Below are 25,719 nucleotides of genomic sequence, written 5' to 3' on the forward strand. Positions count from 1 at the left end.
GTCCATATTATTAGCAATGAACATGTAGTCTTCTATGCCTAGAAAACAATTCAGTAGGCCAGGTGTGGTGGCTCACGCCTGTAATCCCAACACTTTGGGAGGCCGAGGTGGGCAGATTACGAGGTCAGGAGATGGAGACCATCCTGATCAACATGGGGAAACCCCATGTTGTAAAAATACAAAAAATTAGCCGGGCGTGGTGGCGGACACCTGTAGTCCCAGCTACTCAGGAGGCTGAGGCAGGAGAATGGCATGAATCCGGGAGGCGGAGCTTGCAGTGAGCCGAGATCACGCCACTGCACTCCAGCCTGGGTGACAGAGCGAGACTCTGTCTCAAAAAAAAAAAGAAAACAATTCAGTAAATATTATTTTTTAACCAAAAACATGCTGCATTATTGATGCAATCTTTACAGAAATGTATCCCCCTTGTATCATAAACGTTTTGGGTTAGCAGGAAATGACAATAAAATTAACATACTTTAGGTTTTTGTAATAAACTATTTAAAAGCTGTTAATAAGTTCACATTTTTTCTGTCCATTTATTATCAAATATAAGCAGTGAATGAAGAGTTTCTCCTCCTGCAAAATTGTCAAACTTTTGCATTCATCAGAATCAACTGGGGTCTGATTAAAATACATATTGATTGCTGGGCTCCACCCCAGAGATCCTGATTCAGTAGATCTGGAGTGAGGCCTTAGAATTTGCATCTCTAAGAAGTTTCCAAGTGATGCTGCTGCTGCTGCTGGTTCAGGACCATACTTTGAGAACCACTGACCTATAGCACCAAATGCAGAGATAGTAAGAAAAACCTGTGACAAGGAAATCAGCACCCTGGGATTTTGATCACTCCCAGCTGTATGATATTCTTTCTTCCTTCCATCCCTTTCTTCCTTCCACGAACATTCATGGGGCACCTACCATGGGCCGGGCATTGTGTTTGGTGCTGGGGATTAAAAGCTTTTGCTTAAGGCTGGGCATGGTGGCTCATGCCTGTAATCCTAGCACTTTGGGAGGCCAAGACGGGATGATGGGTTGAGGCCAGGAGTTCAAGACCAAACTGGCCAACATAGTAAGACCCCATCTCTAAAAAAAAAAAATTTTAAATTTTTGCTAATTAGGGTCTTATGGTTATAAGGAATCTTAGGCAAGTTACTTAATCAGCTCTCCAATAGCTCAACCAGGAAATGAAGACTATAATCATAAATTTATTTTAATGGCAATTATTGAACATTTACTATGTCCCAGGCTCTACGAAAAGCAAAAAGAAAAAAAAAATTTATTTTTATAATGTTTTCAGTATGCAAAGAATATCCATAAACATCATCTCAATCAAGCTTCACACTAAACATTTGCAGTGGAAAAGACATGATTAACCCTGTTTCACAGATGAACCAACCAAAGAAAGCATGAAGAGACCAAGAGGTTTGCCTGAGCTGGAAAGCAGCCAAGAGGGACTTGAACTCCAGTCCTTGCTTCCTAATCCGAATTTTTTCGTCTATATACTTCATCAACTAAATTTTCTCTAAGTTTTCTTCTTGCTCTTTTAGTGACTTGGTGGTAAATATTTGTTGAATTAAATGGTGACCATTTTTACCTATGGTTTGAAAGCAGTGGATAATACTTTTAGATAAGCATAAGCATTGGAAACGTATTTCACATCATTGGTAATGCAAGTCAGCAAGTATTTATTCAGTAGATAACATGTAATAGTGATGCACTTGATGTATTAAGGGCTGGAGATTTTATATATATATGTATATATGTGTGTGTGTGAGATTTTGTTTTTGAAGGCTCTCAAAGTCTAGGAGGACAGATAAATAAATAAGAAATATAATGCTACAATAAAATGTGGTAAGGACAATGACTGAAGAATGCAAGGGGGCTGCAGAGTGAGGACACAAACCCAGCCTGGGGAAAGGATTGGGGAGCTTTCCTAGGGAAGCTCATGGCTTAGCTGATTTGTGTGAGAGGAATAATTTGCATAGCAAAAGGAGTAGGGAGCAGGTGATCATGGTGGAGGGACTCTACATGCTAAGGCTTGGCGGTGTAAAACAGCAGGGCATGTTCAGGGCATTGTAAGTTTTTTGATGGACCTGAACTATGATGTGTGACAGTACATAGTCTGGAGAGGTAGGGAGGGGCTAGATCCCAGAGGTCCTAGTAAGGAACATTTGGATACCTCCTATATATGGCAGGAAGACTATGTTATGTATCATAGAACTTCCAAGCTTGGGATTTGGAATCGGACTTTTTTTTTTTGGAGATGGAATTTCGCTCTTGTCACCCAGGCTGGAGTGCAATGGCATGATCTTGGCTCATTGCCACCTCCCCCTCCCAGGATCAAGTGATTCTCCTGCCTCAGCCTCCAGAGTAGCTGGATTACAGGTGTGTGCCACCATACTCAGCTAATTTTTGTAATTATTTTTGTAATTACTAGTAATTTTTGCCACCACACCTGGCTAATTTTTGTAATTATTAGTAGAGACGGAGTTTCACCATGTTGGCCAGGCTGGTCTCGAACTCCTGACCTCAGGTGATCCACCCGCCTTGGTCTCCCAAAGTGCTTGGATTACAGGCATGAGCCACTGTGCTGGCTAGACAACATGTTCTTGACCCCAGTTCTTTTACATATTAGCTAATGATCTTGGGCAATTTAATCTCTCTGACTTTTATTTCTACAACTGGGAAACAGGGATAAAAATGCCTACTTCGGTGGGTTGTTGAGAATAAATAAGGTAACACGTGCACAGCTCTTGATACAATGCTTACCACAAAATAAGCTCTCAATAAATGGTAATATAAGATGATGATGATGATAGTTACTAGTTACTAGCTTTGTATCATATCATAATTATACTAAAAAGTAAACTTGATGGTGACTCCTTGAGAATTTACTGTTTTAGAGACCACATTGGCATGGGCAAAGAAAGCATGAACAACTTGTGTAAGCGACTTTGCATTTCTATGCCTATCAACAAAGATTTACTGTTAGTTACCAAAAGTGGGATGATATGGTTTAGCTGTGTCCCTACCTAAAATCTCATCTTGAATTGTAAGCCCCATAATCCCCACGTGTCTAGGGAGAGACCAGGTGGAGGAAATTGAATCATGGGGGACAGTTTCCCCCACGCTGTTCTCCTGATACCAAGTGAATTCTCATGAGATCTGATGGTTTTATAACTTTGGTATTAATAGTCCCTCCTGCATTCATTCTCCCTCCTGCTGCCTTGTGAAGAAGATGCCTGCTTCTCTTTTGCCTTCTGCACTGACTGTAAGTTTCCTGAGGCCTCCCCAGCCATACAGAACTGCGAGCCAATTAAGTCTCTCTTCTTTATAAATTAGCCAGTCTTGGGTATGTCGTTATAGGGGTGTGAGAGCAGACAAATATATGGAAGGAGGGAGAGATAGCCATGTTTCTGTATCTGGCAGACTGTCATTAATAATTATTTAACCTATGCTTTGCTTTGCTTTACTCATTATGGTAGAATCAGGACCAAGGCATGAATAGGTAAATTTTCCATTTCTAAGGAAAGGCAGGCAACCTTGAGTTTTGGGTTCCCCTGCTCCATAGGTGCATGACACATGACAACTTTTCTGGGGTTTTTTTTTTTTTTGAGACAAAGTCTCACTCTATTGCCCAGGCTGGAGTGCAATGGCACGATCTTAGCTCACTGCAACCTCTGCCTCCCAGGTTCAAGTGATTCTCCTGCCTCAGCCTCCAGAGTAGCTGGGATTACAGGCATGCGCCATCACGCCCGGTTGATTTTTGTATTTTTAGTAGAGATGGGGTTTCACCATGTTGGTCAGGCTGGTCTTGAACTCCTGACCTCAGGTGATCTGCCTGCCTCAGCCTCCCAAAGTGCTGGGATTACAGGTGTGAGCCACCAGGCCCGGCCGACAACTTTCTTTTTCTTTTCTTTTTTTTTTTTTTTTGGAGACAGAGTCTTGCTCTGTCACCCAGGCTGGAGTGCAGTGGTGTGATCTCAGCTCATTGCAACTTCTGCCTCCCGGGTTCAAGTGATTCGCCTGCCTCAGCCTCCCAAGTAGCTGGAATAACAGGCACGTGCCACCATGTCTGGCTAATTTTTGTATTTTTAATAGAGATGGTCAGGTTAGTTAGGCTGGTCTTGAACTTCTGACCTCGTGATCCACCTGCCTCAGCCTCCCAAAGTGCTGAGATTACAGGTGTGAGACTTTCTATTATTTTTCTTTTATTTTTTGAAACAGAGTTTTGCTCTGTCACCCAGGCTGAAGTGCAGTGGCACAATCTCAGCTCATTGCAACCTCTGCCTCCTGGGTTCAAGCGATTCTTGTGCCTCAGCCTCCCGAGTAGCTGGGATTATAGGTGCATGCCACCATGCCTGTGGCTAATTTTTATATTTTTAGTAGATACAGGGTTTCACCATTGGCCAAGCTGGTCTCGATCTTCTGGCTTCAAGTGATTTGTCCACCTAAAGTGTTGGGATTACAGACATGAGCCACTGCGCTTGGCCAACAATTTTCTTCATTTTGCAGATGAGAGGAGGAAGGTTGTGTTGAAGTCCCTTCCTAGATACTGGGAAGGGATAGGGAGCGTGGATTTCTTTGTAGGGTATCTGAAATATAGGCTGCTTCTTGTACAGAGCATTTCAGGCCCTTGGCTAGAGGGCAGTGGTGTGGATGGCACACTTGGGAAAAGTGTCTCGGCTCCTGCGGCCTAGGAACTAGGGAGAGGAAGGCTGAAGGAGAACACAGAGCAGCCAGCACCAAGACATGGAGGGAGCAGCTCTCAACCACAGTGCATGTGTTAGAAGGAGCAGTGGTGGCCGGGCGCAGTGGCTCAAGCCTGTAATCCCAGCACTTTGGGAGGCCGAGGAGGGTGGATCACCTGAGGTAGGGAGTTCAAGACCAGCCTGGCCAACATGGGGAAACCCCGTCTCCACTAAAAATACAAATATCAGCCGGGCGTGGTCACGGGCGCCTGTAATCCTAGCTACTTGGGAGGCTGAGTGATAAGAATCGCTTGAACCAGGGAGGCGGACGTTGTAGTGAGCCGAGATCGCGCCACTGCACTCCTGCCTGGGTGACTAGAGCAAAACTCCATCTCAAAAAAAAAAAAAGGAAGAAGAAGAAGGAGCAGTGGTGATAGTGATAGTAATGACAGTGAGGGACTGATGACTAGAACTCTCGCTTCCATTTCTCCTGGACTGTATCAGCACCCATGCTCAGAGAGGAAGCCACAGACATGGTGGCAATTCTCACTGACCTCAGTGTGTGGGGCTCTAAGGTGGATTTAGAAAAATAAAAACATGGGCTGGGCATGGTGGCTCACACCTGTAATCCCAGCACTTTGGGAGGCCAAAGTGGGCGGATCACTTGAGGTCAGGAGTTTGTGACCAGCCTGGCCAAGAGGGTGAAACCCCGTCTCTACTAAAAATACAAAAATTAGCTGGGCGTGGTGGTGGGAGCCTGCAATCGCAGCTATTCGGGAGGCTGAGGCAAGAGAATCGCTCGAACCTGGGAGGCAGAGGTTTGTGGTGAGCCGAGATCCTGCCATTGCACTCCAGCCTGGGCAACAAGAGCGAAACTCCATCTCAAAAAAAAAAAAAAAAAAAAAAAGAGCCGGGTGTGGTGGCTCATGCCTGTAATCCCAGCACTTTGGGAGGCCGAGGCGGGTGGATCACCTGAGGTCAGGAGTTCAAGACCAGCCTGGCCAACATGGTGAAACCCCGTCTCTACTAAAAAATACAAAAATTACCTGAGCATGGTGGCTTGTGCCTATAATCCCAGCTACTCGGGAGGCAGAGACAGGAGAATCGCTTGAACCTGGGAGGCGGAGGTTGCAGTGAGCCGAGATGGTGCCACTGCACTCCAGCCTGGGAGACAAGAGTGAAACTCTGTCTCAAATAAATAAATAAATAAATAAAAGCATATGACCTTGCTCAAACCTGAAGTCCTGAGTCACCTACTCATTAAAGTAACTTTCATATAGACTTCAATTTATAAATTATAATGCAAGTATTAGCAAGCTCCTAGTCATATGCCAAAGAAAACTGGCATAGGAGTAACCTTCCCCACCCCACTGCCCTAGCTGAAACACCTGATTGTGGGTGTTACTGGCTTTCTCACTTCCTTCTCTGTGTACACGCAGTCTCTAGTACCGAGAGTACCCTATGTACTGGCAGGGTCCCAGAGAATGGAAGGACACAAAAGAGAGTCTCGGATGGGTGCCTTTGAAAGGCTGCCGAGCCTGGATGATTGCATTTCCTGATGGTGGTCCGGATGTTTCAGTAGGCACTATATCTTTTTCTAGTAATGGCTATCCAGATTTTTGGCTGTTATCAACTCTGCTGCTGCTACTGTCACACACCTGGTCTTCACAAGAGAATGTCACCGCACCCTTTGCATGACCCCATCCACCTATCACACCCGTTTCTCCTTGTAAGCCTCAAAAACCTCCAAGGAGGGAGCAAGTTGCCACCTGCTGCACTGCCCTCCACCAGCTTGACTGGTTTTTCCTGCTAAGGCAACGCAGTCCTTCTGCGTCTGAGGCCCTGGTGACCCATGGAGACCTATGTAGTTAGCAGCCATAGGACAAAAAACTCGAGTTTGGCAGGCAAACAGTAAAATAGGTCTTTTCAAGTGATTCTGAGAACCTGAAAAGTGACTTTGTTGTAAAACCTGTGATTTTCCTTTCTCCTTTCCAATGAGTTGGATTTTTGAACTATACTTAGTATTCAGAACTCAAAGTACTCTCTGTTCTCATTGCTTGCGAATGTATTACAAAGTGAACCCTTTCTCCCAGTAAGGGGCAGAGGGTTTTTGAAGAACCCTGCTGCTGTCCTTCAGATGGTAATCATATTTGACACACTTCAACTGGCCATCGTCACACCAGGTTCTAAATACATTTCTGAGCAAAGAAAAGGAAAAAACTATTCTCTTACTCTTTAAAAAAATATACAAAAGTTATTAATTTAGTTCCAGCCTTCTCTAGATAAAAATGATTGCTATAGAAAGTGAGGCAAGAAACTAACACCTACTATGTGCCAGGGGCTTAGCATGCACACTCTTACTTAATCCTCCAGAAGGCGGGCTTGACAGGCTGCTATTGATGTCTGGCAGGCTCTCATTAATTAACACAGCAGGAGCTCCAGAGGAGCCACACCAGAAGCTACAAGGCCTATTGAGTTGCCCAACGTCACTTATGCCATATTCTATTGCTTCAAGCAGGTGATGAGGCCAAGCCAGATTCACAAAGTGGGGAAACAGATTCTGCCTGTGTATATACTAGGGCTGGGTGGAATTATTGAGGCTAGCTTTGCAAATCAGTTAACACACTGGACCTGAATAAAAAAGAGTAATGAAATCTGGCTTGTGCCTAGCGCCAAAGGTGTAATATTAAATGAAATAACATTCACAAAGTGTCTTGAGCCACTTTACAGAAAAGTGCTGTGCAATTAAGGTGGAGGTGCAAATTTCTACTATAAACAGAAGTAGTTTTTGTTTGTCATCATGATGTGTAAAATCAATTAGGTGGATTTAATCTGATTTGGAAGGTATGTTTGCAATGATCAGATAGAATACAGGCAATATTTATTCGGCATACATGCGATTCACTGCGAAGAATTCTGGAGAAGTCATTCAATAGAGCAGCTGAAATTGAACTGAGGCACACAGCCGGCTGGCTGGGAGGAGGTGCCAAAGGATTAAGATGCTGTGGGCAGGGTGAACAAATTGGCTTCAAATACGAGACCCAAATTGAGAGTCAAAAGAATGGATGCTCCTAATGACAGGTGTTGATTTGCAACTGAGCTGCTTCTCACATAAACAACCCTGAGAAGCATAGACCTAGGTGGGTAACAGCCAAGATTTGTTTATCTAACAAAGGTTAATGATTCTCCAAGCCACACCAGGTAGACATGCTAGTTATTAGTGTTTATTGTTATTTCCTTATCTCTAAAGGCGTTAAGTCTCTGACTGTTAGCTGGGATAAACTGGACTTTATGTCTCCATGAGGTTTGTGTCTTAGAATGGCTTTGGTGTGTCTGTTTCCGGGTGATAGATTCAGAAAATGGCCAAGGGAACACTGCAACTGATAGGAGAGGGATGGAAAAATCCCTGAACTTAAAATACTGCACCCAGAAGAGGAATGGCAGTGATATCAGATTGGGATGTAGAAGACTTTGCTTTATTTTTTTATTTTATTTTATTTTAGAGACAGAGTTTCGCTCTTGTTGCCCAGGCTGCAGTGCATTGGCACAATCTTGGCTCACTGCAACCTCCACCTCCCGAGTTCAAGCGATTCTCCTGCCTCAGCCTCCCGAGTAGCTGGGATTACAGGCGTGTGCCACCACGCCTGGCTAAGCTTTGCTTTACTCTCCCTCTGCTACTCACCAGCTATGCAACCTTAGATGTTTCCCCCTTCACCCCCGCAGCAGGTAGTACGTCCGTGGTTCTCTTGAATCTAATGACTGAATTCCATCTCTCCTACCATTATCCAGGTCTTTATCAACTGTCTTTATTTTTTATTTTAGAGACAAGGTCTTGTTCTGTCACCCAAACTTAAGTGCAGTGTTACTATCTAGCTTGCTACAACCTCAAACTCCTGGGCTCAAGCAATCCTCCTACCTTGCTTTGGCATCCTGAGTAGCTGGGATTACTGGTACACACCACCACATCTGGCTATTTTTTTTAATTTGTATTTTTTGTTGAGATGGTATCTTACTATGTTGTTCAAGCTGGTCAGCTACCTTTTGGGTTAAAGCAATGCCTGTCTAGAGTTCATATCCGATCATGTCACTCTTCCATGGCTCCCCATTTCCTCTCCAACTCCTGAGGTTGGCACACAAGACTTTTCATGATTTGGGCCTGTCCGTCTCTCTTGGTTGACATCTTGCCAATCCTCTCTCTCTACAGTAGGTTGATTTGGAGGCCAAAAAAAAAAAAAAAAAAGACCAAATTCTCCCTCCTTGTGTTCACATGATTTGCAAAAATGTTGTGCAGCTTCTCTCATCAAGGGGTGGAGTCTATTTCCCTGCCCCTTGACTCTAGTCTGGCTATGTGACTTGCTTTGGCTTTTTAAATACACTGGAAGTGGTCCTGTGTCAATTCTGGGCCTAGGTCTCAAGAGGTCTGGAGTACTTCTGCTCTCTCTTGGAACCCTGCCACCACCGTGTGGACAGGCCAGGCTGCTGGAGAATGGGAGCTGATTTGGAAGACAGCCCAGTCGTCACAGCCAAGGCTATCCTAGACCAGTCTACAGCTAGCGGATGCCTAGGCATGCAAAAGAGAGCCGCCTGCCCAGCTCTCAGCTGACTGCCAATACATGAATGAGCCTAACTGAAACAAGAACTGCTCAACTGACCCATAGACTCATGAGCAACAATAATGCTGTTATTATTTCAAGCCACTGAGTTTTGCCATGGTTTGTTATATAGCAATAGCTAATTGGTACACCCTTAATTCCATTTCTGTACACTGTGGGCTCTAGCCAGGCTACATCTTTTGCCGTTTTCTGTGTGTACCATCCTCATTTTTACCTTTTGGCCTTTGAACAGGTGGGTTCCTCTGGCTGAGATGCTCTTATCTTCCAATTTTACACTCTGCTTGGCTAAAGTGTATTCATGTTTCATGATTTGGCATAGATGTGTCTTCTTCCAGCAAGTTTTGCTTCTCTCTCATCATGACTAGGTTAGCTGTCACTGCTGGCAAAAGATCCCTTCTGGACCTAACTCTAGTGAGGCTCCTCTAAATCCTGTAGGCCTTGAGCTTCAGTGTCCATCCTTGCTGGACTCACATCACTCAGTTTTAGCAAGAATCTTGTTAAGTTAGCGCAGTGGTTTGAATGTGTCCCCAAAAGTTCATGTGTTGGAAACTTAATCCCCAATGCAGCAGTGTTGGGAGATGGGGCCTAATAAGAGGCGATTTGTTCATGAGGGCTCCACCCTCATGAATGGATTAATGCTGTTATCACAGGAGTGCTTTTGTTATCATGAGAATGAATTTATTTAAAAAGTGAGCTCAGGCTGGGTGCAGTGGCTCACGCCTATAATCCTAGCACTTTGGGAGGCTGAGGTGGGTGGATTGCCTGAGCTCAGGAGTTCAAGACCCACCTGGGCAACATGGTGAAATCCCGTCTCTACTAAAATACAAAAAAAAAAAAAAAAAAAAAAAAAAAATTAGCCGGGCATGGCAGCGTGTGCCTGTAGTCTCAGTTACTCGGGAGGCTGAAGCAGGTTAATTTCTTGAACCTGGAAGGAGGAGGTTGCAGTGAGCCGAGATCGCGCCACTGCACTCCAGCCTGGGTGACAGAGCGAGACATCCGTCTCCAAAAAAAAAAAAAAGAAAAAAAAGTGACCGCAGCCTCTTCTCTTGCCTTTTCACCTTCTGCCATGGGATGATGCAGCAAGAAGGCCCTTTCCAGATGCGGGCCCCTTGACCTTGGACTTCCCAGCCTCCAGTACTGTAAGAAATATTTCTTTTCTTTCCTTTTTTTAAATTTTTTTGAGACAGAGTCTTGCTCTGTCACCTAGGCTGGAGCGCAGTGAGATAATCATGGCTCACTGCAGCCTTGACCTCCTGGTCTCAAGCAATCCTCCCACCTCAGCTCCCTGAGTAGCTGGGACCACAGGTGTGTGCCACAATGCCTGGCTAATTTTTTATTTTTAGTAGAGACAAGGTCTCACTATGTTGCCCGGGCTAGTCTTGAACCCTTAGGCTCAAGCAATCCTCCTGCCTCAACCTCCCAAAGTGCTGGGATTACAAGTGTGAGCCACTGCACCCAGCTATTTCTTTTCTTTATAACTTACCCAGTCTGTGGTATTCTGTTATAGCAACACAAAATCAACTAAGACAGTAAGTTTACAGAGAATCCTCACCCTTGATATCTGATCACCCTGGCCTGCCTTTAGCAAGAATCCTGTTAGGCTAATTTAGCAAGAATTATCCTACCCTCCTAGTGATTTCCCATCCATTCATGCCTCTGCCCTGCTTCTTGGCCAAAATCCCCATTTTTTTGTTGTTGTTGTTGTATTTGGAGTTGTGCCCAATCTCCCTCCCCTACTACAAAACCCCATTACAGTAGTCTTTTGAATAAAGTGTTCCTTATCAGGATCAAAATAATTCTTTTTATTTACCACTGTCATGCAGCCACCCAACAGGTTAATTTGCCACTGGCCAGATACAGACAATTTATCAAGACAGGAATTGCAATATAGAAAGACTTTAATTCACACAGAGCCGGTTGAATGGGAGACCAGAGTTTTATTATTACTCAAATCAGTCTCCCTGACAATTCAGAGACTGAGGATTTTAAAGGATAATTTTGTGGGTAGGGAGCCAGGGAGTGGGGAGTGCTGATTGGTTGGGTGGGAGACAAAAATCATAGGAAGTCAAGGCTGTCCTCTTGTGCTGAGTCAGTTTTTGAGTAGAGGCCACAAGACCAGATGAGTCGGTTTACTGGTCTGGGTGGCGCCCTCTGCTGCATCAAAATGCAGGGTCTGAAAAGTACCTAGAGCACTGATCTTAGGTTTTACAATAGTGCTGTTATCCCTGGGAGCAATTAGGGAGGTTTGGAATGTTGTGGCCTGTGGCTGCATAATTCCTAAACCATAATTTCTAATCTTGTGGCTAATTTGTTAGTCCTACAAAGGCAGTCTGGTCCCCAGGCAAGAAGGGGGTTTGTTTCAGAAAAGGGGTGTTATCTTTGTTTCAGAGTTACACTATGAACTAAGTTCCTCCCAAAGTTAGTTTGGCCTATGCCCAGGAATGAACAAGGATAGCTTGGAGATTAGAGGCAAGATGGAGTCAGTTAGGTCAGATCTCTGTGACTGTCATAATATTCTCACCGTTACAATTTTCACAAAGGTGTTTTCAATGTTCTCTCATAGCATCTTGCCTTCGTCTCTTCTTTCCACTTGTTATGCTGTATTGTAATTTCCTGTCCACTCATCTTGTCAGCAGCAGCAAATCCATACCTCAGAAGATAAAATTTGACCGAAGGGCACAAGGCAGAGGGAGAAACCGAGGGAAGTTTTAGAGCAGGAGTGAAAGCTTATTAAAAAATTTTAGAGCAGGAACAAAAGAAAGTGAAGTACATGTGGAAGAGGGCCAAGCGAGCGACTTAAGAGATTCAAGTCCATGGTTTGACTTTTGACTTGGGGTTTTATATACTGGCATGCTTCTGGGTTCTCGTGTCTCTTCTCTGATTCTTCCCCGGGGGTAGGCTGTCTGCATACACAGTGGCCTGCCAGCACTTGGGAGGGGCCACATGCTCAGCGTGTTTACTGAAGTTGTGCACTGCCTCACTTGAGGCATTCTTCCTAACTAGTTGAGTGTTCCCAGAGGAAGGTCATATACCAGTTAAACTCCACCCTTTTGCCTCTTAGTGCACATATTTGAGCCCACTCGCCCAACTCCTGAGATCTTATCAGGGGAAGTGGCTGATCACCAGCTTCAGGTGTTTTCTATGTATTGCGAGACTGCTTTTCCCTGCCACCAGCTGCAGCTAATTACTACGTTAGAGAAACAGTTTAACAACTGCCTCACCATCATCTGATGGTGGTGGTTGATGGGCTGGGCGCTCTCCTGCCCTGCTCATATCTGCCTGACTGCCTACTCTAACAACCTGACTTCCTTTTCTCCCTTAACTTCCTGAAGGAAAGGGTGTGTCTTGTTTAAAGTAACATTGCCTGAGCGTAGCAGAGTGTCTAGTGTATAGTAGGTGTAGCAGGACAAGCCGCAGACAAAACTCCTCAGACACCGAGTTAAAGAAGGAAGGGGTTTATTCAGCCGGGGGCATCGGCAAGACTCCTGTCTCAAGAGCTGAGCCCCCCAAGTGAGCAATTCCTGTCCCTTTTAAAGGCTCACAACTCTAAGGGGGTGCGTGTGAGAGGGTCATGATTGATTGAGCAAGCAGTGGGTACGTGACTGCGGGCTGCATGCACCGGTAATTAGATCAGAACAAAACAGGATAGGGATTTTCACAGTGCATTTCTATACAATGTCTGTAATCTATAGATAACATAACTGATTAGATCAGGGGTCGATCTTTAACTACCAGGCCCAGGGTGCGGCACCGGGCTGTCTGCCTGTGGATTTCATTTCTGCCTTTTAGTTTTTACTTCTTCTTTCTTTGGAGGCAGAAATTGGGCATAAGATGATATGAGGGGTGGTCTCCTCCCTTATAGGAACTCACTATAACTTTGTCAATGATCAAATTATTCTACTTCCTTAGGTTTCAGTTTCCTCACCTATAAAATGTAAGGGATAAAGAGAATCGAGATGCCAGTAGGTTTGTATTGTATGCTGACTTTGATCCATTGGTTCTGACTGTCCACAGCTCCATACTGAGAAGGATTATGTGACTGTGACTGCAGTTATAGGGAAGGAGTGTCACGATTAATTAGCTGTAACTGCTACGGTCAGGAAATAAGAAGTGACAGCAAACTGCCAAATATCTGCCAATCTAGAGGAAGATGATTTATCTGGCTCCTGCGAACATCAATCTTGCTCAATCCAGCCATGTCTGCATTATATATTGTGCCAATGAAGAGAAAAACCAAATGTGAAACTGACTAGCTGCCAAAGTTAATGTCATTTGCTGTGGGAGAGACCAGGTGCTTGCCAATCCATTTTCTTTTCACCAATCCACTTTCAGCACACAGCTGGATTATGTTTTTCCAGCCCCTTTGCATTAAGTTTGGACCACAGAGTAGCTACCCACAATGTAATGTAAGCTGCAATGATGATGTAACAGCTCAATGGGTTCTTCTTGCCTGCTGCCCAGATGGAGCTGATTTATCAAAGCAGGGAAATTGCAATGGACAAAGAGTTTAATTCATGCAGAGCTGGCTGAACAGGAGACCAAGGTTTTATTATTATTCTAATCAATCTCCTCCAATGTTTGGAAGTTAGGGGTTTTCCTTTTCTTTTTTCTTTTTTTTTTTTTTTGAGACGGAGTTTTGCTCAGTTGCCCAGGCTGGAGTGCAGTGGCGCAATCTCGTCTCACTGCAAACTCCGCCTCCCAGGTTCAAGTGATTCTCCCGCCTCAGCCACCCGACTAGCTGGTATTACAAGCACTGGACATCATGCCCGGCTAATTTTTGTATTTTTAGTAGAGACGGGGTTTCAGCATGTTGGCCAGGCTGGTCTTCAACTCCTTACCTCAGGTGATCCACCCGCCTCGGCCTCCCAAAATGCTGGGATTACAGGTGTGAGGCACCACTCTCTGCCAGGTTAGAGGTTTTTCAAAGATGGTTTGGGGAAAGGGGTGGAGGTGGATAGACAACTGGGGCTTGCTGCTGATTGGTTGGGGATTCAATCATTGGGGTGTGGAAAATTGTCCTCCTGTGTGCTGAGTTGCTTCTGGGTGGGGCCACAGGAGTGGTTGGCAGGTCCAGATGGAGCCATCGATGTCAGACTTGTAAAAAACTGGAAAATACATTTGTTTAGTTTTTTTTTTCCTTGTTTTGAGATGGAGTCTGACACCCAGGTTGGAGTGCAATGGTGTGGTCTCAGCTCACTGCAACCTCTGCCTCCTGTCTCAGCCTCCCGAGTGGCTGGGATTACAGAAGTATGCCACCACACCCAGCTAATTTTTGTAGTTTTAGTAGAGAGGGGGATCCACCATGTTGGCCAGGCTGAGTCTCAAACTCTAGACCTCGTGATCCGCCTGCCTCGGCCTCCCAAAGTGCTGGGATTACAGGAGTAAGCCACTGCACCCGGCCCGGAAAAGACATCTCAAAAAGTCAATCTTACATTCTACGATAGTGATGTTATTTGCAGGAGTAATTGGGGAAGTCACATATCTTTTCACTTCTGGAATAACAGCAGCAACAATTTACACCTCAGCAGAATTCAAGCTCCTCTATCCTCCTAGCCTGGTAGTCTCTCATTAGGTTTATAAAGGCAGTTGAGTTTTGGGGAAGGGTGATTATCATTTAAACTATAAATGAAATGTCTCCCAAAGTCAGCTTGGCTTAAGTCCAGGAATAATTAAGGGCAGCTTGAAGGCTAAAGGCAAGAGGGGGCTTGGCTAAATGACAGCCCCCCACCAATGCGATAATTCTCTCACTGGTATAATTTTTATGCAGGTGGTTTCAATGTTGAGTCACATCTGGTCAAGTACAGGAGAGCCTTCTTTATGCTCCTTCTTTCTCCCTTATTGGCTGGTTCCATATAGAGAATCCGCTGGAAGGATACAAGCACCTGAGTGATGGCATCCCACTTGGACTTCGATGAAATGAGAAGTGTGGGAGCCATAGGTTCTTGGCCCTCTAAAGGTTTGGTAAAAATCACTGATATGAGGTGGATTGGTTAATAGGAGAAGAGGCATACAAATGTATGTAATGTGTATACACAGGAGCCTTCAGAATGAAGACCCAAGTTTGCAATGATTTACAGAAATATATATACCATTTTGAGATTACAGAAATAATAAGGGCTTAGGTTCTGATAAAAAAGTTTATAGGAGGGGGAGTAGAGGCTTGGCTAGCAAAGGTGGCCTTGTTATGTAAATGAAGCCTCCCTCAGAGAGAATAGATGTGAAAGATTTCTTTTTAGACTTTTAAAGATGTCAGACTCTCAATCTCTTCTGTGTCTGGCGAAAGGGATAGGAAGGGGAGGACAGGCTGCATTCTTGTAGACTCCATACAGATTGAAAATGTCCCCACTTAAGACAGCTTTTCAAGGCCACTTCTGTCAGGATGGCCAAGCCACAGCCATTTCAAAATATGTCATAGAAATATAATTGGGCGGCTGGGCGCGGTGGCTCACGCCTGTAATCCCAGCACTTTGGGAGGCCGAGGCAGGTGGATCACTGCAGGTCAGGAATTCTAGACGAGCCTGGCCAACATGGTGAAACCCCGTTTCTACTAAAAATACAAAAATTAGCTGGGCGTGGTGGCAGGTGCCTGTAATCCCAGCTATTCCGGGGAGCCGAGGCAGGAGAATCGCTTGAATCCAGGAGGCAGAAGTTGCAGTGAGCCGAAATCGCACCATTGCACTCCAGCCTGGGGGACAAGAGCGAGACTTCATCTCAAAAGAAAAAAAAGAAATATAATTAGGCATAAAATATTTTTTCTTATATATACATATTTTCATAGAGACGGGGGTCTCATTATGTTGCCCAGTCTGGTCTTGAACTCCGGGCTCAAGTGATCCTCCTACCTCAGCCTCCCAAAGTGCTGGGATTACAGGCAGGAGCCATCATGTCCAGATGGGGTAAAATATTTTAATTTCCTTCAGAGGTACTTTTATCTCTCAAGCCACTGAGATTTTGGGAGTCAAGGAGGGTTGTTATCCTAATATATCTGCCTGTCTTATTTTCTTTTTATTTTTAGGTGTGGAAGCATTGGGGAGGAATAAGCCAAATGTTAATGGCATTCGTGGAAGTCAATAAAAATTATGTTTGATAATTCAAGGCTTCAGCTAACATAAAGTAATGACTTAAGAACTGGAGAAACTTTAGGCCGGGTGCGGTGGCTCATGCCTGTAGTCCCAGCACTTTGGGAGGCCGAGGTGGGCTGATCACCTGAGGTCAGGAGTTTGAGACCAGCCTGGCCAACATGGCGAAACCCCATCTCCACTAAAAGTACAAACATTAGCTAGGCGTGGTGGCGGATGTCTGTAATCCCAGCTACTCAGGAGGCTGAGGCAGCAGAATCGCTTGAACCTGGGAGGTGGAGGTTGCATTGAGCCGAGATCATGCCACTACACTCTAGCCTGGGCAACAAGAGCAAGACTCCATCTCAATATATATACACACACACACACACACACATATATATCTATACACACACGCATATATATATATGCACACATATATACACACACACATATATATACACACACACATATATACACACACACACACATATATATATCTATACACACACATGCATATATATATACGCACACATATATATACACACACACACACACATACCTGAACTGGAAAAATTTTAAAAGCTTGTGTTGTTCTGTTCTATCTGCATTTACTATTGTTCTTCCTACCCTTGGTTCTTTTTCCATATAAGGTGACCCACCACAGGGGCATGACAAAAACCTCACATGTAGTATTCCCTACCCCTTTCCCTAGATATCGATTACCCCACAGTCCCTGCAGATGAAAAAAGTTTATGGCTCTTTAAGCCCAAGAAGCTAATGATTTTTCCCTTCAAACTTCCTGCCTTCTACAATTTGGCTGCAAAAGATTTCAAGCTCATGACAGAAACAGAAAACATAGGTTTAAAATATTCACGCCTCTCTGTCTGCAGCAACCATGAATATGCATATCCAGCCAGACAGCTGCTGCCTTCTGGTTCTGGAAGGCAGGGCCTGGGCAACGCGAAGGGAAAGTGGGAGAAGTTGACCTTCCCTGGCTCTGCCCTACAACCTTGGACATCTTACTTTCTAAGCTCCTAGCTGTTGAGCCCTCATTCTTCCCCACTAGTTATGGTTGGAGAGCTGCTTGATTTTCATGAAGTAAAATGTTTTCTCCCTGTGGTCCCATCAAAACTTCCCCATCCCAAAGCCCAGTTCCTTCACCTGGCTCCCTTTTCAATGCACCGGTCTCACCAATTTTGGGGAATTGATGGCTTACTGGTTCCCTAGTAAGTGAAGTGGCTTTCTTTGCTGCCCATGTGATAAATGAACATCTCTATAGTAGCTTATGGGGGACAATGTCGCTTGAACTGGAGGTTTCACACTGGGCATTTTAGGCCAGTGAGGAAAAAAGAAAGGCTCTGCAGCAGACCAGTGGGGGAGATCCTTGGAAGTACATGTTCTTCTTGCCCTCCTCAAATCATCCTTTGAAGGTAGCAGTGTGATGTGCCAGTACCCAGGGCCGGTCCAGTGTGTCTGCTGACCAAAGCCACAGAGACAGTGGGAGTTTGATGTAATGGGAGGCAGGATTTAAATGTTGTGTGCCAGGGTGCATGTGGGAGGGCATTCTGAGCCAAGGTCAATGGGATGGTATAGATTTCTGGTTAAAACAGGGCAGCAAAAGGACACTGAAACTGGGTGGAGATAGAGGTTTTAGAATGCAACCAAGGGCAAATAAGAGAATAAGGCAATTTGAAGTTTGTTTTTTCATTGTTTCCTTTTCTTTTTGTTCTTTTGTATTTATTTTTTGTGGGTGTCATAGAGTAGGCCTGAGGGCTTGAATTCACCCACGACTTTGAGAAGAGAAACCCACACCACTACTGCTATTAAAGTATCATATTTATTGAGCCCTTACCATGTCCCAGTGGCTCATTTATTGCTTCTTGCAACTCTGCACTAAATATCACGATCCCACGTTCATAGATGAGGAAACTGGGGTTAAAAAATAACTTTGAGAGGATACAAAGCTAGTAAAGTGGCAGAGACTAGAGCCTTGTTCTCAACCACCACACCTTATTGTTATAAGAACTCCAGAGACTTAAGGGGGGCAGAGAGCTTTGTAGGGCTTGGACTACCTGTTATCAGCCCCACCTTTTTCAGGAAAGGTTAGAGAAAGGCCAAAAGGGTGGGGAAGCCAGTGCAGAGCTGTTCTGTCAGGAGCTGGTCCTGCCAGCAAGAATTTCACCAGCATCTTGAGCTGGCAACATTCTCTCAGGGCAAGGCTTTGCAACCAGTATCCTTGGGCCACTTTGACAAAGCAGGCTACCAGTTCACATAATATGAAGCCTCCTCAGTGCCAGAGAATGAGGAATATCAAGGTGAAAGTTATTGGAAAGGGGTCCAGATTCAGACCCCAAGAGAGGGTTCTTGGACTTGGCACAAGAAAGAATTTGGGGCAAGTTCATAGAGTAAAGTGAAAGCAAGTTTATTAAGAAAGTAAGGGCTGGGTGTCGTGACTCATGCCTGTAATCCCAGCCCTTTGGGAGGCCAAGGCGGGTGAATCACGAGGTCAGGAGTTCGAGACCAGCCTGACCAATGTGGTGAAACCCTGTCTCTACTTAAAAAACACAAAAATTAGTTGGGTGAGTTGGTGCACGCCTGTAGTCCCAGCTACTCAGGAGGCTGAGGCAGAAGAATCGCTTGAATCCAGGAGCCAGAGGTTGCAGTGAGCTGAGATTGCAACACTGCACTCCAGCCTGGGCAACAGAGTGAGACTCCATCTCAAAAAAAAGAAAGAAAGTAAAGGAATAAAAGAATGGCTACTCCATAGGCAGAGCAGCCCCAAGGGCTGCTGTTTGCCCATTTTTATGGTTATTTCTTGATTATATGCCAAACAAGGGGTGGATTATTCATGAATTTTCCTGGAAAAGGGTGGGCAATTCTTGGAACTGAGGGTTCCTCCCCTTTTTAGACCACATAGGGTAACTTCTTGATGTTGCCATGGCATCTGTAAACTGTCGTGGTGCTGGTGGGAGTGTCCTTTAGCATGCTAATGCATTATAATTAGTGTATAACGAGCAGTGAGGACGACCAGAGGTCACTTTCGTTGCCATCTTGGTTTTGGTGGGTTTTGGTCGGATTCTTTCCCATGTGCTGTTTTATCAGCAAGGTCTTTGTAACCTGTATCTTGTGCTGACCTCCTATCTTATCCTGTGACTTAGAATGCCTAACCTCCTGGGAAGGTGGCCCAGTAGGTCTTAGCCTTATTTTACCCAGCCCTTATTCAAGATGGAGTCATTCTGGTTCGAAGGCCTCTGACAAAAGCCCTGGAGAGTCCGGGGTTGTCACACACCTTGTCAGTCAAGCAGAGCCTCCCGACGGATGGAAGAGTCCCAAGCCATTGAATGGCTCCAGAGGATGCTGACGTGGTGTCCTTCAGAGAGCTGGGGCAATGACAAAAGACACATACAACTGTATACTTGCAAGTGGAAAATCCATTGTGACAACAGGCTACATTTGAGTTACCAAATGCACTTGGCCACCTGGCTGGAATTTGACCTCCATGGCACGTCCGGAGAAGTCAGCCGTGGCTCCAGCCTGGGCTGCCAGTGCAAGAAAAGTGGTTCAGCGATCAAATCTTTCAAAATCAATTTAGCTCAGACTCCAAAGTCCTGGCTGGAATTGACAGCAACTTCCTCCCTGGTTTCCTTAACCATCAGATAAAAGTGCTGAGCCGTTTTAAACCCTTTTGAAGCCAAGACTCACCTTCAAGTGAAATTTTAAGGGGTGCCGGCAAAGAGATTTGACTTAATTCCAGACCTTTCCTTCCTGCTGGTCTGAATAATTAGCAGAGTTATCCCAACCTTCTGTATCTGGAGTTTATGTATAGGGCTCTGAAATAGGAAATATTAAAGTTGCCTGTGCCTAGTAGTGGAATAAACAGATTTCTACCCACCTTCTCTGTTCTATGAAATGGGGATGATGATAATGAACTCTGCTGGGTGGGTACGGGCCAATTAGTCCAAATTTGTAAAGCTGAGTCTTGTTACAGCTTTACTGCTTGTGGAGAATGGGCAGCACTTTCCTGTGACTTTGCATGTGAAACTAATTGCCCTGGAAATGTCAGGAATTTGATCTTCCATCAAATCCTCCAGCTCTCAGATCCCTTGACAATCTTGGGCTATTTGCATCTCAAGGTTAAAGGAGGCCGTGCTTTCTGGATGCTAATCAGTTGTGAAAACTTTTGATCTCCTCTTGAAAACTAAAACCTTTTGCAGCCACCCTATTCCAAGCGTGGTGAGAGCTGAGCAGTTGAGGTGCAGACAGGCCGGCTTTATTGGAATGAGCAATGTGTTTAGCAGTTGTGAGTTTTAATTCTATTTTCCTTAGGGCTCTGTGGGATCCTGGAAAATCACTTAATATTTCTGAGTTTCTTTCCCCCCAAAACGTGATCTGAATTTTGTTATATCTCCCCGGGGTTGTGGAAGTTACTGTTATAAAACTCCAATTCATAATAGCTTGTAGATTTAAAAGACAGAAACTTATGAAACATGTTTTTGGGGGCGGGGTGGGAGAATATATGTGCCTACATATATACACGCGTACTATTTTCCTACTGTGATATTTTAGTGATAATAAGTTCTTTGTAGTGATAAAGTCATCCTTCTAAGTCAGGCTACAAGTCAGGCTAAGTCAAATGCTGGCACTGTTAGCATTTTGGACCAGATAATTCTTTGCTGTGAGGGGCCTGCCCTGTGCATTGGAGAATGTTTAGCGGCATTCTTGGCCTCTACCTACTAGATGCCAGTAGCACTCCCAAGTTGTGACAATAAATAATGTCTTCAGAAATTGACACATGTTCCCTGGGTTAGGGTTACCAGATTTAGCAAATAAAAATTCAAGATGCCGGGCCGGGCACGGCGGCTTACACCTGTAATCCCAGCACTTTGGGAGGCCGAGGCAGGCGGATCACGAAGTCAGGAGTTGGAGACAATCCTGGCTAACAAGGTGAAACCCCGTCTCTACTAAAAATACAAAAAATTAGCCGGGCCTAGTGGCGGGCGCCTGTAGTCCCAGCTACTCTGGAGGCTGAGGCAGGAGAATGGCGTGAACCCGAGAGGCGGAGCTTGCAGTGAGCCGAAATCGTGCCACTGCACTCCAGCCTGGGCGACGGAGCGAGATTCCGTCTCAACAACAACAGCAACAACAACAACAAAAAAAAAATTCAAGACGCCTACTTAAATTTGAATTTTAGAGAAATAATGAATAATTTTTTTTTTTTTAAATTTTGAGACAGATCCTCACTCTATCTCCCAGGCTGGAGTGCAGTGACGTGATCTCCGCTCACTGCAACCTCCGCCTCCTGGGTTCAAGCGATTCTCCTGCCTCAGCCTCCCGAGTAGCTGGTATTACAGATGTGCACCACCACGCCCGGCTAATTTTTGTATTTTTAGTGGAGATGGGGTTTCAACAGGTTGGCCAGACTAGTCTCGGACTCCCGGCCTCAAGTTATCTGTCTGCCTCCGCCTCCTGAAGTGCTGGGATTACAGGCATGAGCCACTGCGCCCAGCCTGAATAATCTTTAGTATGTGTGAATGTAACTGGGTATACCACCTATAATTTGGCAACCTACTTGGGGGTGCAAAATCTCCTCACAGTTAAGAGCCACTCCTCTTTTTTTTTTTTTTTTTTTTTTTGAGACGGAGTCTCTCTGTCGCCCAGGCTGGAGTGCAGTGGCGTGATCTCGGCTCACTGCAAGCTCCGCTTCCCGGATTCATGCCATTCTCCTGCCTCAGCCTCCTGAGTAGCTGGGACTACAGGCATCCGCCGCCACGCCCGGCTACTTTTTTATATTTTTGTAGAGACGGGGTTTCACCGTGTTAGCCAGGATGGTCTCGATCTCCTGACCTCGTGATCCACCCGCCTCGGCCTCCCTAAGTGCTGGGATTACAGGCGTGAGACACCGCTCCCGGCCAAGAGCCACTCTTCTATATTTCTATATCTATATCTATCTACCTATATCTATCTCTGTGTGTGTGTGTGTGTGTATATATAATTTTTTTTTTTTTTCCCGTAGAGACGGGGTTTCACCATTTTGGCCAAGCTTGTTTTGAACTCCTGACCTCAAGTGATCTGCCTGCCTTGGTCTCCCAAAGTGCTGGAATTACATGCATGAGCCACTGTGCCTGGCCAGAGCCAGTCTTCTAAATAAAGTTTAGCGTTTATCAGTGAACTCACATCAGCATTCACCGCATCCTTCCCTTATTTCTGCCCCACTTTTATTTCTTTCCTACCTTTGTCCCCTATTTCAGCCTTCAAGATAGAGGATAAATAAATTCCATGTGGGCCTCACTACAAATTGCTATGAGCCTTAGGCATGAGGGGAGGTAGAAGTACATGTTACATATCTATAATACTATGATTAAATGGGAATCGGTTGCAAAATAAGAACAGCTAAGGCGATTGTTTTAGTGCATTTTGTGTTGCAACAGCAGAATACCACTGACTGGATAATTTATAAAGAAATTTCTCCATGGGGTGGCTCACACCTGTAGTCCCAGCACTTTGGGAGGCTGAGGGGGGTGGATCACTTGAGCCCAGGAGTTTGAGACCAACCTGGGCAACATGGCGAAACACCCTCTCTACAAAAAAATACAAAAAATTAGCCGGGCGTAGTGGCGGGCGCCTGTAGTCCCAGCTACTTGGGAGGCTGAGGCAGGAGAATGGCGTGAACCCGGGAGGCGGAGCTTGCAGTGAGCCGAGATCCCGCCACTGCACTCCAGCCTGGGCGACAGAGCGAGACTCCGTCTCAAAAAAAAAAAAAAAAAAAAAATACAAAAATTAGGTGGACATGGTGGTGCATGCCTGTATTCCCAGCTGCTCAGGAGGCTGAGGCGGGCAGATCAGTTGAGCCCAGGAGGTTGAGGCTGCAGTGAGCCATGATTGCCCCACTGCATTATTCCAGCCTGGGTGACAGAAGGAGACCCTGTCTCGGCAAAACAAAAAAACAAAACAAAAAAAATTCTCTCAGTTCTGAAGGCTGGGAAGTCTAATAGCAATGAGGTTCTTCTTGTGGCATCATTCCATGGCATGTGGCAGAAGAGCAAGAGAGGGAGGGAGAGGGGAAGAAGGGGGAGGAAGGGAGGGAGATGATAGGGAGAGAGACATGGGGGGAAGGGGCTAAACTCATCCTTTTATCAGGAAACCACTCCCACAATATCAGCATTAATTCATTAATGAGGGGCTCTCATGATCTAATTACCTCTAAGTTCCCACCTGTCAACACTGCTGCACTAGGCATTTAGTTTCCAAAACATGAGCTTTGAGGGACACATTCAAACCATAGCAGCAATTCAAAATGATGCCTCTTGGGTGGGAATGGTGGCTCACGCCTGTAATCCTAGCACTTTGGGTGGCCAAGGCAGGCAGATGGCTTGAGGTCAAGAGTTTGAGACCAGCCTGGCCAACACTGGTGAAACCCCGTCTCTACAAAAAAATGCAAAAATTAGCTGGGCATGGTGGTGCATGCCTATAATCGCAGCTACTTGGGAGGCTGAGGCATGAGAATCACTTGAACCTGGGAGGCAGAGGTTGCAGTGAGCTGAGAGTGCCTCACTGCACTCTGGCTTGGGTGACAAAAACAAAAAACAACAACAAAAAAACACCTCTCTAAGCAGAATCCTTTCATGAATAGTAGAGGAGCCAATGAGATAGGCCTTGAAGCTTGCTTCCAAGGTCTCCATGGATCCTTTGAAAGTCAAGCCCATAAGTTACCATAGTATTCTTTTTGCCATTTAATAAATGCTTTTTGAACAAGATTGTGTTAACCACGTGCTGCATGACATGAAAGAGGAAAAGGCACAGTTTATGCCTGTGAAGAAGAAGCAGGTTGTACTTCCATAGAGAGACGCTTGCCAATAACAGCTGGCATGGTCCCAGGGCCTAGTCAGGGTGCAGATGATAAGCAAAAAAAGAAATAGGTAGCACGGGCAGGGCAGCTGTCCAGGAAGCCTTTTTTCTTTTTTTTTTTGAGACGGAGTCTCCCTCCGTCTCCCAGGCTGGAGTGCAATGGCGTGATCTCGGCTCACTGCAACCTCTACCTCCCAGGTTCAAACAATTCTCCCCACTCAGCCTCCTGAGTAGCTGGGATTACAGGTGCCCACTATATGCTGGGCTAATTTTTTTTTTTTTAACTTGAGAGATGTGTAAAAGGCTTTATTTGGAGGGGAGCAGGAGTTTAACCAAAGAGGCCAAATCCCATGTCATCGTTTTACTCTTCAGACTCCTCTTTCTCATCTTTCTTCTCCTCTGCTGCAGCAGGGGGTGGAACCAGCTGCAGGGGCTGCAGAGCCTGGGGCAGCAGAGACGGCCACAGCCCCACCAGCAGGTACATTGGCAAGCTTGCTAATACTCTTGGCAATGACGTCTTCAATGTTTTTTCCATTCAGCTCACTAATAACCTTGTTGAGCCGGTCATTGTCCGTCTCGATGCCCACGCTGTCCAGGATCTTCTTGATGTCCTTGTTGCTGGGGGAGGGGTTACCCCCGAGGGCAGCCAGCAATTAGGAGGCGATGTACCGCATTGGGGCGGTGGTGGAGAGGCCTCACGTGTGTGACCTCGGCGGCGTCAGGGAGGAAAAACAATATTTGTATTTTTAGTAGAAACGGGGTTTCACTGTGTTGGCTAGGCTGGTCTCGAACTCCTGACCTCAGGTGATCTTCCCACCTTGGCCTCCCAAAGTGCTGGGATTACAGGTGTGAGCCACCATGCCAGGCCCAAGAAGCCTTTATTTTATTTTTATTATTATTTTTTCTGAGATGGAGCTTCACTCTGTTGCCCTGGCTGGAGTGCAATGGAGCAAACTCGGCTCACTGCAACCTCTGCCTTCCCGGGTTCAAGCGATTCTCCTGCCTCAGCCTCCCGAGTAGCTGGGATTACAGGCACTTGCCACCACACCCGGCTAACTTTTGTATTTTTAGTAGAGATGGAGTTTCACCATGTTGCCCAGACTGGTCTCGAACCCCTGACCTTGTGATCCACCTGCCTCGGCCTCCCAAAGTGCTGGGATTACAGGTGTGAGCCACCGCGCCCGGCAGGAAGCCTTTTTAGAGGAGGCAAGATGGAAGAGTTTAGGGTGGGAGTAAATAAAGCTGGCTGGAGACATGCCATGTGCCTCTGAGAACTAGCAATTTGGTGCTCAGTAGGTTAATAATGTGGTGATACTCTAAATTGATAGTCCTTAGATACTTGTCAATGTTAGTTTAGAGGAGAAGTGGTGCATGCATGGAGAAGGATGGAGGAGGAGGCTCGCTTTTGTCAATCTTTAGTTTCTCTTTTATTATTCCCAATTATTTATTTAATTTTTTAAGAGACAGAGTCTCATTCTGTCACCCAGGCTAGAGTGCATTGGAGCGAT

At 45.4% G+C, this 25,719-nt stretch overlaps 1 pseudogene, besides 3 other annotated features; it reads right to left on the reverse strand.

Annotated features, from left to right (window-relative positions):
• Positions 11,367–11,476: a silencer, noted in NCBI's record as "silent region_16565". NCBI's record gives its function as "represses an Ori minimal core promoter by ATAC-STARR-seq in GM12878 lymphoblastoid cells {active_cell/tissue: GM12878}" and the evidence as "EXISTENCE:reporter gene assay evidence [ECO:0000049][PMID:35858748]".
• Positions 12,989–13,131: a silencer, noted in NCBI's record as "fragment chr5:157346675-157346817 (GRCh37/hg19 assembly coordinates)". NCBI's record gives its function as "represses an EF-1alpha promoter that drives an FKBP-Casp9 reporter gene in an ReSE screen in phorbol 12-myristate 13-acetate-treated (for megakaryocytic differentiation) K562 erythroleukemia cells {active_cell/tissue: K562(+PMA)}" and the evidence as "EXISTENCE:reporter gene assay evidence [ECO:0000049][PMID:32094911]".
• Positions 19,937–20,738: an enhancer, noted in NCBI's record as "OCT4-NANOG-H3K27ac-H3K4me1 hESC enhancer chr5:157353623-157354424 (GRCh37/hg19 assembly coordinates)". NCBI's record gives its function as "activates a minimal SCP1, AML or CMV promoter by ChIP-STARR-seq in primed H9 embryonic stem cells {active_cell/tissue: H9 hESC(primed)}" and the evidence as "EXISTENCE:reporter gene assay evidence [ECO:0000049][PMID:30033119]".
• RPLP2P2 (ribosomal protein lateral stalk subunit P2 pseudogene 2) lies at positions 24,501–24,942 on the reverse strand (annotated as a pseudogene).

This window comes from Homo sapiens, chromosome 5 (genome assembly GCF_000001405.40).
Source record: "Homo sapiens chromosome 5, GRCh38.p14 Primary Assembly".
Classification (NCBI taxonomy): Eukaryota; Metazoa; Chordata; class Mammalia; order Primates; family Hominidae; genus Homo; species Homo sapiens.